The sequence below is a fragment of the Homo sapiens genome, chromosome 20, assembly GCF_000001405.40.
Source record: "Homo sapiens chromosome 20, GRCh38.p14 Primary Assembly".
In the NCBI taxonomy this organism is placed as follows: Eukaryota; Metazoa; Chordata; class Mammalia; order Primates; family Hominidae; genus Homo; species Homo sapiens.
This window is the reverse complement of record NC_000020.11, coordinates 5597986-5611908: the sequence shown is the minus strand read 5'-3', so window position 1 is coordinate 5611908 and position 13923 is coordinate 5597986. Positions and strand designations below refer to the sequence as shown.

The 13923-nt window shown below is 44.0% G+C and overlaps 1 protein-coding gene across 1 annotated transcript in view, besides 3 other annotated features; it reads left to right on the top strand.

Moving 5' to 3' along the window:
* Nucleotides 595–1214: a silencer, noted in NCBI's record as "silent region_12657". NCBI's record gives its function as "represses an Ori minimal core promoter by ATAC-STARR-seq in GM12878 lymphoblastoid cells {active_cell/tissue: GM12878}" and the evidence as "EXISTENCE:reporter gene assay evidence [ECO:0000049][PMID:35858748]".
* Nucleotides 903–13923, top strand: part of GPCPD1 (glycerophosphocholine phosphodiesterase 1) — a 66568-nt gene continuing 53547 nt past the window's right edge. Inside the window, exons 1-3 of the mRNA NM_019593.5 lie at nt 903–1067; nt 7469–7545; nt 13088–13184. Coding sequence (NP_062539.1) covers nt 7497–7545; nt 13088–13184 — 146 coding nt within the window. The 5' untranslated portion in view covers nt 903–1067; nt 7469–7496. The remainder of the gene's footprint in view (nt 1068–7468; nt 7546–13087; nt 13185–13923) is intronic.
* Nucleotides 1197–2069: an enhancer, noted in NCBI's record as "H3K27ac hESC enhancer chr20:5590486-5591358 (GRCh37/hg19 assembly coordinates)". NCBI's record gives its function as "activates a minimal SCP1, AML or CMV promoter by ChIP-STARR-seq in primed H9 embryonic stem cells {active_cell/tissue: H9 hESC(primed)}" and the evidence as "EXISTENCE:reporter gene assay evidence [ECO:0000049][PMID:30033119]".
* Nucleotides 5176–5225: a silencer, noted in NCBI's record as "silent region_12656". NCBI's record gives its function as "represses an Ori minimal core promoter by ATAC-STARR-seq in GM12878 lymphoblastoid cells {active_cell/tissue: GM12878}" and the evidence as "EXISTENCE:reporter gene assay evidence [ECO:0000049][PMID:35858748]".

The following is a 13923-nucleotide window of genomic DNA, read 5'->3' as shown; positions in this document are numbered from 1 at the left end:
TGCATACTTGTTAACGTGGGGATGTTGCTAGAGGCAGATTTGATAGGGTAGGTCTGGGATGGTCCTGGGAGTGTGCAATTCTGAGTTCTGGCAGGTGCTACTGGCTTGTCGACCATACTTTGCGTAGCAAGGGTATAAACTCTCATCCAGCTTAGGTGACTTAATAGTTTTCAACTAATGATTTGATCCAAGTGTGATTGCTGTTTTGCAACGAAAGAAAGTTTCTAGAAAACATCAGTACTGGTAATTTCCCCCGTTTTCAAATGGGGAAAAAAAATACAACTCTGAATTGTAGCTCCAGGATCCATAGTCGGTTTTTTTTTTTTTTTGAGACGGAGTTTTGCTCTCGTCCAGGTTGGAGTGCAATGGTGCGATCTCAGCTCACTGCAACCTCCGCCTCCCGGGTTCAAGCGATTCTCCTTGTCTCAGCCTCCCGAATAGCTGGGATTACAGGCGTGCACCACCACACCCGGCTAATTTTGTATTTTTAGTAGACACAGGGTTTCACCATGTTGGCCAGGCTGGTCTCGAACTCTGATCTTAGGTGATCCGCCCGCCTCGGCCTCCCAAAGTGCTGGGATTACAGGCGTGAGCCACCGCGCCCGGCCCACGTGGGTTATTTCTAAGGCGGCTTTGGTGGACCACAGTACAAGCCTATGACCCCAGGGCAGCTCTCCAACGTGCGGGCGCCGGGGTCGGCTGAGAAGGGCAGCGGGGACACGGGGGATGCCCGGCCGCCCTCGGCCGCGTACGTCAGCCCTTTCCAGGAACGCGCGGGCCCGCACCCCCCGCACGCGGCTGCCGATTGGCTGGGACGGCGCCGGGCGTGACGTCAGGGCCCGCCCCACCGCCCTCCGGCCCCGCCCCGCGGGGTGGCCTGGCAGTTTGGTCTGGAGCAGCTGAAACCGGTTTGAGCGTGGCTGCTTCCTGCCGCTCGACGCCGCGGCAGGCCGCCTGGGGGGAGCGCTGGCGAGGCACGGACGGCGGGCGCCCGGTACCTCTGCCCGCGGTCCTCGCTCTCGGGCGGGGCGGCGGCGACGCGGACCTGCGGACTAGCGAACCCGGAGGTGAGGCAGCGAGCCGGGTGCGGGGGCCGGGCGGCCACTCACGTGGCGGGCTGAGCTGTCAGGGCGGCCCGGGACGCGGCGGGCCTGGGGCGTCGGGGCCGAGGCGCGGGCGGGGTCCTCGGGCCGGGCCGGGCCGGCCACTGCCCGCAGGGGAACGGCGGCCGGGCGTTCGCTGCGCTAAATCGGTGGCTGGGACGCACTCTTCGACTTTTATTGTTCACTGCCGCGCTTCTGCTGGGCTGCCTGGGGCTTAGTTCCCTTCTAAAAAATACGTGGAGCATTTGAGGAGTAGCAGGGTGCGTGGAGCATAGGACTACCGCAAATATGCAGAGTACTGAGTCGGGGAACAAAGACACCAAAAATGCAGATGAGGTCCTCTGGGGACATCCCCTGCCCCACAGCGGCCCCCGGCTCACCGCCGCTCTCTGTCCCTAAGTTACTCACCGTGTTTTGACAACTGCTTATTTTCTGAAATTGCCCGGACACGTAGTCTAGGGCATGCTTGTATAATTCAGTTATTCCAAGAAACTAAAGTGCCTTTCCTAGGAAAAGGTTCCAGGAATAGTCATGAGTGCCCTCGATACAATTTTTTAGGTCTGCTGCCCCTTCTCTCCAAAGCTCTACTTTTCCCAAAGCTCTTCAGACTGCCTTGCTGAGGTAGGAGAGAGAGCCTCAATCACTTAGGTGTCCTCATCAGCCCTCTCCCCAGACTCCACTGGCTGGCTGGAAAAGAAATCGGGCATGAATTGTAGAGGATTCTTCCACCTTAAGGCAGCTGTTAGTCTGATGTAGACCTGCATAGAGGAACTGATGGAACTGAGCAGGATGTTTGGACCCGATGTTTTTTCTTCATACTCTTCTGTCGCCTCCTCCCATTTCTGCACAGTTCTCACCCACTACTCTACCCCGTCATGCTTCCCCTTGCTACGTTGCTGACGAGCTGTGACTTAACTAAGAAATAAATACAAGGTATCAGTCTTTTTTTTTTTTTTTCAAAATTCCTAATGTCGTGGATACAAATAACACCAAGCAAACAAGCAAAACTGCACATGGTGCAATCCATTCCTGATTTAAGAACTAGGAAGAACCAAGAGCTAGAGAAAACCAGTATTCTAGACAAAATTTAAATCTGCAAAATAACGACGTGGGAAAGCTGGACTCTTGAGAAATAATGACCACAAAAGAAAACTCATCGTAGCAAAGTGAGTAAAATTTGATACGTACATAAAGTACGTTGATGAATCGAATCTTTACGTATGAGTTAAAACAGGAAAAAAGGTATGAAACATACACAAGAGAATAATATCACGGTAAAATGAATGGAAAACATTTGGGAAAATGTTACTGCATTGTTTAGAAAGTTGATCAAGGAATTAACTTGGCGTAAAGAAACTTATTCCAGAAACACTTTTTAAATAAAGATCCATTAACGTCTTAACATATTTGATTAAGATATTGGCTTCAAGTATATGGGAATCAGAATGACAGTCACAACTTGTCAGAAATGTAGCAAGGGTCGTAATGATCCTTCACCAAGATGAGCAAAAATTAACTCAGGGAAAGTTAGGCATTTTATATATTACTTTATTTAGCTAGTTAGGAGGATCAAAGCTGCCAAGGCCTGGGAAAGGGCAAGAAGAATTGGAAACAGCTTTTTTCCTTGAAAAAATTCGAAGGAAGACTGACATGTTCCTTGTAGCCAAAAAAACACTTTAGCTAAAAATATCTGACTTCAATTTAGCTCTAAAGTGAATGTCCCTTTACCTTGGTTTACTTCATATCCCTTTGGTTTCCCAGCCTGGTAAATCAGTAGTGTCACGTGTCGGGAAAGTTTATTTGAGGAAAAGAATAGAGTAAAATTTATTTTGGCAGGTAGTGTGAACTCTGAAATTTTTTAAAATGTGGATTAATTACCATGTTGTATTTTGCTGATTGCTTGAGTCTTTTAAAAAGGGTTATTTAAATACTACCCAGAATCTCAGATGAGAATGCCATTTAGTGTTTCTCTTCAAAAAGTACAGAATAGATGTTACGTTTTCAAAAACCAAAAAGCAAAAGCCTGTTTCAGGAAGTGTAGTCTGTATGTGAGGTAATAGGCGAGTTGGTTAAATTATCTGGTCAGCTCATGTGCATACAATGACTAACATTTTTCATCTTACTCTTGTTTTTATGTATATCCAGAACTGACCTTCCCTTTCCAAGTTGTGATTTTTTTTTTTCTTCCTTGTTTAGAAGAAGGTGTATGGGTGGGTGCATACATTTTTTGTTTCACAACACAGTCATTTTTTTACTTGGTCACTGCTGTTTTGGTGGTAACTGGATGCCAAAATTGTATACTACAACACTGCACCAGACTTTTGGCCTCTGTCCATAATCAAGTGAATTGCATTTGGAACAGCTCCTGAGGCTTTTATTTGGTATGGTATCAAATTTGGGGAGGGGGGCGCTCAGGGTGGAAATCAAACCAGATTGCTTGACTTTGGTAAATCAAGTGGAAGATGATGCTTTGTTGACTTTTGGAGAGGTTTTCTGGGAGGTGTTTTTGTGCTTGTGTATATAGCTTTGTATAGTACATTTACTGCAGCTGTTTACCGCTAAGTTACTGTAGTCACTCTTCCAAACATCTTTGAGAATAAAAGACTCAATTTCTATAATCAGTTCATTTCCCTTTTATTATATTTACTTAAGTTTTCCATTTGCTTTCATGCAGTAGAAATCTAGAGATAATTTTGTACTAGCTGTTGATTTTAGTACATAGGAATAATATCTGATTTCCCTTAAGTTGATTAAAATAGTTATTTAAAGTTAGTCAACAAATAGCAAAATACAAACTATTTAATCATGTATATGAGGTTGTCTTTAGTTGAGAACCGCAGCAGTAAACACCAAATGAAAGGGCACCTTATTTGGTTAAGGTTAAGACTGAAGTGGTCATTCAGCTCTTTTGATGGGTGATAGAGTATTTGCTCTCTTAAAATTAATTCAGTAATTTAAATGTCAGGCTTTTTTTTTTTTTTTTTATTTGAGACAGAGTCTCATTCTGTCACACAGGCAGGAGTGTGGTGGCACAATCTCAGCTCACTGCAACCTCCACCTTCTGGGTTCAAGTGATTCTCATGCCTCCCAAAGTGCTCGGATTATAGGCGTGAGCCACCACACCTGGCCGCCATGTTTACTCTTAGATGCAGAAAGTAGAATAAGAAATTATTTATTTTAGAAATTATTTTGATGAAGGGAAGCCTTTTTTTTTTCTTTTTCTTTTTTGAGATGGAGTCTCCCTCTGTTGCCCAGGCTGGAGTGCAGTGGCATGATCTCGGCTTACCACAACCTCCACCTCCTGGGTTCAAGTGATTCTCCTGCCTCAGCTTCCCGAGTAGCTGGGACTACAGGCACGTGCCATCATGCCCAGCTAATTTTTGTAGTTTTAGTAGAGATGTTGGCCAGGCTGGTCTTGAATTCCTGACCTCATGATCTGCCCTCCTGAGCCTCCCAAAGTGCTGGGATTACAGGCATGAGCCACCATGCCCGGCCTTTTTTCTTTCTTTCTTTTCTTTTGAGATAGAGTCTCGCTGTGTTGCCCAGGTTGGAGTGCAGTGGCACTATCTTTGCTCACTGCAACTTCTGCCTCCCAGGTTCAAGTGATTCTCCCGCCTCAACCTCCTGGGTAGCTGGGATTACCGGTGCCCACCACCATGCCCAGCCAATTTTTGTATTTTTAGTAGAGACAAAGTTTCACCATGTTGGCCAGACTGGTCTTGAACTCCTGACCTCAGGTGATCCACCCGCCTCGGCTTCCTAAAGTGCTGGGATTACAGGCATGAGCCACTGTGCCTGGCCAAAGGGAAGGTTTGCACTAGTGTAGTATTGGGTATTCTAACCAAAATGGTAGAGTTGCCAAATAGGGAATTTCATATCCAAATGTGACATGACTGCACATTGGTGGTCTTGCACTCTGTGAGATGAATATTTGACAGTGTACATTTATAAATATATATATGTGTATGTATTCAGTGTTACATTTTATAATTGATGTAAATGTGATGATACATAGTTTATAGCTAACATAGAGCCTGGACTCTTGACCCTCATCTCAACCTGAGCCCTGTTGATGTTTGGAGCTGGACAATTAATCATTTGTGGAGGGCTGTTCTGCGTATTGTATGGTGTTCAGCAGGGCCTTTACCCCTAGATGCTAGGAGTGCCACTCCCAGTTGTGACAACCAAAAATGCCTCCTGGCATTACCAAATAATCCCCTGGAGGGAAGAATTGCCTTTGGTGAGAACTGCTGGTATAGATCTATCTACCTTGACTGGGAAGTGTGGTTAATTGTGTGTAGCAGTGTTCATTAAATGATTCAGGGGGAGGGGAAGGGAGCAAAGCAGAACTAGAAAAATGACTATGTAAGGTAGCTATGAAAGGTACTTTAGAATTGTTTCATAAGGTAATATATAAATGCAAATGAAATTTAAGCTGGTAGAGTAATGTACATGATGCAGAATAAAGATGTGATTGGAATTCTTGTAACATTGGTGGGGGGGGCAAAGGTTTTTTTGAGGGGTGTTGGAGAAGTTATGATGTAGAATATGGTGTGTCTTTGGATGGAGTATGTTCTTTCTCCATTTAAATTATGTAAGTATCTCGAAGTATATTATATGTACATGTGTGTATTAAGCTATTTTTTATATTCCTTTAGGTACTTAAGTTAGTGGATGGGAAACAGATTCCTTTGACTGACAGGGAAGAAATGAAAAAATTAGCTAGACAAAATGTGGATAAGTGGAAAAGAACTTCAAAGGCTTGGAGTTTAGACTTCTTTCTTATTCTTTTTTTAATCTCCTTAAATTCCTTTTACTATGGAGTTCAGATTTCTATAAATAATCAAAGTGATTCCAAGCCAGGGATGTGAGGAAGAATCCTAATTGACAAAATGGATATAAGGTCAATTAGATAGAATCATCAGGATTTGATAATAGGTTGTAGGTAGAGTTGAGACTGTAAATTTGAGCCTGTAGAACCTGAGTAATGATGGTCCTAGGGTTAATAAAGAGAAAATCTGAAAAGTTATTTGTGTAGAAAGTTTTTTCTTTTTTTTTGGAGGGGGAGGCAGGTGGGGGGGCTCACCTCAACCTCCACCTCCCAGGTTCAAGCAATTCTCCTGCCTCAGCCTCCTGAGTAGCTGAGATTACAGACATGTGCCACCACGCCCGGCTAATTTTGTATTTTTAGTAGAGACGGGGTTTCTCCATGTTGGTCAGGCTGGTCTTGAACTCCTGACCTCAAGTGATCTGCCCTCCTCGGCCTCCCAAAGTGCTGGGATTACAGGTGTGAGCCACTTGCCTGGACTCCTTCTTTTCTTTTTCTTTTAATGATAAGTTACATTGTGTCTTAGAAGCAGATTCTCAAACTTGTTCCACAACATAACAAGTAGTTTGTTTTAGTGGGTGATACTTTGGTTGTTTCCTTTGTGTTAAAGTAGAAATTCATTAAGTGAAGCTTTTTTCTCTCTATAGTTGTTTTTCTTCTCTACCACAGTATTACCCTGGTCAGGAAAGATACCTTGAATTCAGAACAGCTGCTTATCAGAAGAGAAAGTATGTAGCAAAAGAATCTTGACGACTTAAAAAATAACAAGTTTGGATACTTTGTTTTACAGTGTGTATTTCGGGCATGTATTCTGTCTTGTTTTGTTTTCTTTTTGAACATATATTCTGAAAGAATAGCTTTGTAGCACTAGGCTTCAAACTTGCTAGATACTTCCCAAGTAATTGAGTCACTGTTTATATAAGGACTCTGAAATTAATCTTTTTTTTTGCTCATAATTGAGATTCATTTTCATTTTTTGCTTTTTTTAAAAAAACTTTATTGAGACTTTGTGTTTTGTTTTTTTCGAGACAGGGTCTTGCTCTGTGGCTCAGGCTAGAGTACAGTGGCACAGTCACAGCTCACTACAGCCTCAACATCCTGTGCTAAAGTGATCCTCCCAGCTCAGTCTCAATCTGTAGCTGGAACTACAGGCATGCTCCCCATGCCTGGCGTGTGTGTGTGTGTGTGTGTGTGTGTGTGTGTAGACATGAGGCCTCACTATATTGCCCAAATTGGTCTCAAACTCCTGGGCTCAAGTCATCCTCCTGCCTCAGCCTCCTTAAGTGTTTGTATTACAGGCATGAGGCACTGTGCCTGGTTTATTTTTTTGCTTTTTCACTTGTTTCTTTCCCGCCCCCCCCCCCCCGCACTAAAGTTACTTTAAAACAAAAACAAAAACAATCCCACCATAAAACTGCAAAGACATTAAATATTGCTTTTAAAAATATAAATAGCTCTTGGTTGAAGTTGTTTCTTGATGGTGGCTAGCTAAGGCATATATTTTTATACTATAAGTTACTTTTCTTTTTTTTCCTAGCACGACATCATAAAATAAATCCATCAGAATGACACCTTCTCAGGTTGCCTTTGAAATAAGAGGAACTCTTTTACCAGGTATTGTAAAAGTTTTACTTTAAAACAATTAAAATTAAATTAGCATGTTTCTTATCTGGATTACCTTAAATATGGAGTTGCTATTAGAGTGGGCCTGATTTTTTAGATGAAAATATCTATAGGTCTTGCCTGACAGCAGAAATGTGCTTGGAGCATAGTAAACACACCAAAAACCTCCTCAAACTCTGTCTTGTTCTCATGTTTTCCCAAGAAAGCTATGAATTTATACCTAATTTTGCACAGGGCAGAGATGGTTGGGCTGTGGTTTCTAGGCAGTATGAAAATGAAGGAAACTTTGCTAGTGCAAGAAGTTGGTAGGCCGGGCGCAGTGGCTTATGCCTGTAATCCCAGCACTTTGGGAGGCTGAGGCGGGTAGATCACTTGAGGTCAGGAGTTCAAGACCAGCCTGGCCAACATGGTGAAACCCCATCTCTACTAAAAATACAAAAATTAGCCGGATATGGTGGCATGTGCCTGTAATCCCAGCTACTTGGGAGGCTGAGGCAGGAGAATTGCTTGAACCCAGGAGGCAGAGGTTGCAGTGACCTGAGATCGTGCCATTGCACTCCACCCTGGGTGACAGAGCCAGAATCCGTCTCAAAAAAAAAAAAAAAAAAGAATAAGTTGGTGAAACAATTGGCTGGGATAACCTTGTTCCTATGTGTGAATATGTTTTTAGCCTCATTGTATTTTTTGCTGTCCCTTAAAGTGCTGTGAGATAATTTTAGTGTGAGATAGCATGTCAAAGCCGTATCACACCTGGGCTCTCATAAAACTGAGGTACCTCTCGGTTTTATGTACTCTGGCTATACTGGCCTTTCAGTTCCTTAAATGTGCTCCATTCCTTCCTCCTTTCTTCCTCTTTTAGGACGTTCTCAAATGCTGTTTCCTCTGCCTAGATCTTTGCCCACTCTCATACTCCCCCTGTTCCTTCTCTTCTCTCCCCTGTCCCCACTGCCAGCCTCCAGATTCCACTAGGTTCTGGCCCTATTTTATAGCACCTCTTGGAGATTTTATAGAATTATTTGAGTGACAGATTGTAAACTCTGTTGAAAACATTACTTTTTTTTTGAGATGGAGTGTTGCTCTGTCGCCCAGGCTAGAGTGCAGTGATGCGATCCCAGCTCACTGCAACCTCCGCCTCCCGGGTTTAAGCAATTCTCCTGCCTCAGCCTCCCAAGTAGCTGGGATTACAGGTGTCCATCACCGTGCCTGGCTAATTTTTGTATTTTTAGTAGAGACAGGGTTTCACTATCTTGTCCAGTCTGGTCTCAAACTTCTGACCTCGTGATCCACCTGCCTCTCGGCCTCCCAAAGTGCTGGATTACAGGTAGGAGCCACCGTGCCCAGCCCCCTCTTTTTTTTTTTTTTTTTTTTAATTGAGATGGAGTCTCACTCTGTTGCCTAGGCTGGAGTGCAATGACGCGATCTCGGCTCACTGCAACCTCTGCTCCTCGAATTCAAGCGATTCTTCTGTTTTGGGCTCCTGAGTAGCTGGGATTACAGATGCCTGACACCACACCTGGCTAATTTTTGTATTTTTTGTAGAGATGGGGTTTTGCCATGTTGGCCAGGCCAGTCTCAAACTCCTGACCTAAGGTCATCTGCCTACCTTGGCCCCGCAAAGTGCTGAGATTACAGGTGTGAGATTACAGACCGTGCCTGGTCAAAATATGACCTTGTCTTGTTTATGCTGAATTCCTGCGCCTAGCAGAGAGCCTGGATCAGAGCAGGGGCATAGTATATCTGTATTCAAAGAATGAGTGAATGACTCACACTACATCTAGCTTCTTTATTCTAGCATTCATCACAGCAATTGGCAGAGTATGTGTGAGTCTAAGTTCAAATTCTTAGCCAAGATGATCTGGTATAGTTCTACCCCTGGGCAGAATTGAGCAGATTGAAGATTGCTAGTCAGCTGATGGGTTGGCTCCCTTGAGCCAAGTGCTCACCTCTGGTTTAGTGTGTGGCCACTTCCGTGGAGAGAAGACGGAATTTTCTCTTTCTGGGGAGTTGTAGGCAGGCAGTTGAAGCTAGAAGGAGCTGGCCATGTCGGGCAAATGGACTGACCGCAGAACTGGCCACAGAAGTGTCAGCTTGATTGGGGTCAGGGATTAGAGGGAAGGAGATAATGGTGGATGTGGATATAGATGACTCTGTACGTGCCAAGGAGGAGGCTGAGGGACAGCAAGGGGATACTGGGGGAGACCCCACCTCAATTCCCCCATCACCTTGATTTCCTCACTGCACAGGAGGAAGGACCCTCTGCTAAATGTGGCGAGAATGGTAGTGCAGAGAGGACTGACCTTGGGGGAAACAAGTACAACCAGGAGAGGATACAAATAGAGTATGTGGAGGTGCTGTTTGCAGATTTCTTTAGTAAGCATTCAAGTCTTCATAATCTTTTATAACTGAGAGCCAATTAAAGAAAGGTCTGTTTGTTTTAGTGAAAAATTTCCTCATTTTCAGCAGCCATATTCCCCTGGAATCAGCAGAAAGAGAAAGTAACATTGCAGGGGGAATTGGTAAAATGCAGGAGCACCTATAAGAGGCAAGTGAACCACTGAGTCCCCATTTTACTTTTTCCAATTGGAGTTTGTTCTTTTCATAGCAAAAAGTAGCCTGCTGTTTTATGTGGGGGATGAGAAATAACGAGTCCATGAAGAAGTTTTTTTTGTTGTTAAGAGACAGGGTTGGCTGGGCATGGTGGCTCATGCCTGTAATCCCAGCACTTTAGGAGGCCGAGGTGGGTGGATCATCTGAGGTCAGGAGTTTGAGACCAACTGGACCAACAAGGTGAAACTCCGTCTCTACTAAAAATACAAAAATTAGCCGGGCATGATGGTGCGTGCCTGTAGTCCCAGCTACTCGGGAGGCTGAGACAGGAGAATTGCTTGAACCCTGGAGGTAGAAGTTGCAGTGAGCTGAGATTGCGCCACTGTACTCCAGCCTGGGCGATGGAGCAAGACTCCATCTCAAAAAAAAAAAAAAAAAAAAAAAAAGATTAACAGGGTCTCCCTCTATTGCCCAGGTTGAAGTGCAGTGGTGCAGTCATAGCTCCTCAAACTCCTGGACTCTGGTGATCCTCCTGACTCAACCTCATGAGGAACTGGGACTATAGGTGCACAACACAGTGCCTGGCTAATTTTAAAATTATTCTTACTTAAAATTTTTTTTTGTACAGACAGGGTCTCACTATATTGCCCAGGCTGGAGCGCAGTGATGCAATCTTGGCTCACTGCAACCTCTACCTCCCCCCAGGTTTAAGTGATTCTCATTCCTCAGCCTCCCGAGTAGCTGGAATTACAGGTGTGTGCTGCCATGCCCAGCTAACTTTGTGTTTTTATCTATTTTATTTAAAAAAAATTTTTTTCGAGACAGAGTCTTGCCCTGTCACCCAAGCTGAAGTGCAGTGGCATGATCTTGGCTCACTGCACCCTCCACCTGCCAGGTTCAAGCGATTCTCCTGCTTCATCCTCCTGAGTAGTTGCGATTACAGGTGCTTGCCACCATACCCGGCTAATTTTTTTTTTTTTAAGAGTCTCGCTCTGTCGCCCAGGCTGGAGTGCACTGGTGTGATCTTGGCTCACTGCAGCCTCAGCCTCCTGGGTTCAATTGATTCTCCTGCCTCAGCCTCCTGAGTAACTGGGATTACAGGTGCCTGCTACCACACCCAGCTAATTTTTGTATTTTTAGTAGAGATGGGGTTTCACTATGTTGGCCAGGCTGGTCTTGAACTCCTGACCTAGTGATCTGCCTGCCTTGGCCTCCCAAAGTGCTGGGATTATAGGCATGAGCCACCGCACCCGGCTTGCACCCAGCTAATTTTTTATTTTCAGTAGAGATGAGGTTTCACCATGTTGTCCAGGCTGGTCTTGAACTCCTGACCTCAAGTGATCCACCCACTTCAGTCCCCCAGAGTGCTGGGATTACAGGCATGAGCCAATCTCACCTGGCCTTTTTGTATTTTTAGTAGAGACAGGGTTTTGCTAGTTGGCCAAGCTGTTCTCAAACTCCTGGCCTCAAGTGATCTCCCTGCCTTGGCCTCCCAAAGTGCTGGGATTACAGGCATGGGCCACTGCGCCCGGCCCACATGTATTTAGAGCCCTGAAATCTGAATGACTGTCACACTTGGAATTTTAGTTAATTTTTAGATAGTCCAAGCTAATAAAATGCTCATGCAGGTGGCTAAAGCTGAGTACAATTCTAGTCTTACTAGAGCAGTGCCTCAAGCTTGGAATCCCAGCTGTTCTCAGAATGTGGAGGAGTCTGTCTTGAGCCAAATTGGCAGTTGGACTCAGTTCATTATCTTTTTCTTTATGAATTTTAATTGTATTCAGAATGTGTTGATATTTAAGTCAGAGACTTCTACGTACTTTTATCCAAGTGTGTTCTGCTAAATATATAAAATTTAGCAAGAAGAGGTGGTAGCTTTATGTTGGCTTTTAAAGTCTATTGATAAGTGTTCAAAAGAAATGATACATTACCTTAGTTAAGAAGTACTAGATTTTGGCTGGGCGCGGCGGCTCATGCCTGTAAACCCAGCACTTTGGGAGGCCAAGGCGGGCAGATCACCTGAGGTCAGGAGTTCAAGACCAACCTAGCCAATATGGTTACCCCATCTTTATTAAAAATACAAAAATTAGCCGGTTGTGATGGTGCGCACTTGTAATCCCAGCTACTAGGGAGGCTGAGGCAGGAGAATTGCTTGAACCTGGGAGGTGGAGGTTGCAGTGAGCCCAGATCATGACACTGCACTCCAGCCCAGGCAACAGAGAAAAACTCCATCTCCAAAAACCAAGAAGTACTAGATTTTCCAACTATATAAGTCTTTGTTTTGATGGGTTTTTAATTACATTTCTGCTCTCTCATTGACAGTTTTGTTTCTGTTGTTTTTGAGATGGAGTCTTGCCCTGTTGCCCAGGCTGGAGTATAGTGGTGTGATTTCGGCTCACTGCAACCTCTGCCTCCTGGGTTCAAGTGAATTCTCCTGCCTCAGCCTCCTGAGTAGCTGGGATTACAGGCATCTGCCCCCACACGCCCACCTCAGCTTCCCAGAGTGCTGGGATTACAGGTGTGAGCCACCACGCCTGGCCTTAATAATGTTCTTGATGTGAAACTTATTAGTAGCTACTGTTTGACTTTCTAGAAAATATTGATTAATAACCCTTTAGAGTACTGATAGGCATTTAGTGTTTGTCTGTTAAAATTGGAAGCTGTCTTGAAAGCAGAGACTGTGGTTTTATCCCTTTTGTACTCTTGGGTTCTTGTTACTGGCTCAATGAGTAGTTGAACAGATGAAGAAAACTTCATCCGTATGCCTTCCCCCTTTTCTCTGGCTTTGGTTCTAGAAAGGTGAGTCGAGTTAATTGGCAGGTGTTAGTGAGTGGTAGGTACCTGGGCCCAAACCTATATCTAGTGAGGCTCTTTCATCTCTGCTAAAGGGGGCAGCATATCTGGTTGAACTAATGCAAACTTCCCTGCTTATCCCACTGTGACTGATTGTTCTGTTTCTCTGTGACTGATTGTTCTGTTTCTTTAGGAGAAGTTTTTGCGATATGTGGAAGCTGTGATGCTTTGGGAAACTGGAATCCTCAAAATGCTGTGGCTCTTCTTCCAGAGAATGACACAGGTGAAAGGTGAGTATGGAAATGTGAGGTTACAGAATAACTGTGACATTAACCTTATGATGTTAGGGGCTTTTAAGATATCTTGGTATTTTTTCTTTTAGTTATAATTTTTATCAACATTATCACGTTGCATAGTTTTATGAGTGAAATAATTTTACAAAATTTGTGTGGGAAAAACAGGTTCCTCTCTTACTGTTAATCCCTGCCTCTCAACCACTTTCATTTCTTTTTTTTTTTTTAGATGTATTTTTTATTTTTACAACTCAGGATAATTGAATATACTTTTAATTCTTGACTGGTTCTTTAGGTACTTACCACCATAATTAGTTAGACAGGGTCTCACTCTGTTACCCAGGCTGGAGTACAGTGGTGTGATCCTAGCTCAATGCAGCCTTGAACTCCTGGGCTGAAGCGATCCTTGCGCCTCAGCCTCCTGAGTAGCTGTGACTATAGGCACCCATGACCATGCCTTGTTAATTGTGGTTGTTTTTTTGTTTTTTGTTTTTGGTGTGGAGATGGCATTACTTTTTTGTTTGTTTGTTTTTTGGGGTTTTTTTTGGCACAAAGGTGGTGTCTGGTTATGTTGCCCAGGCTGATCTCAAATTCCTGGACTTGAGATCCTCCCACCTTGCTTTCTTATTTGAAGAAACATTTTAAGGCATTAACATTTGTCTGGTCACTATATATTATTTTCTTCTTTTTAATTTTTTCTGATTTCTTTTTTTAATGGTAAGTACATATTCTTGAT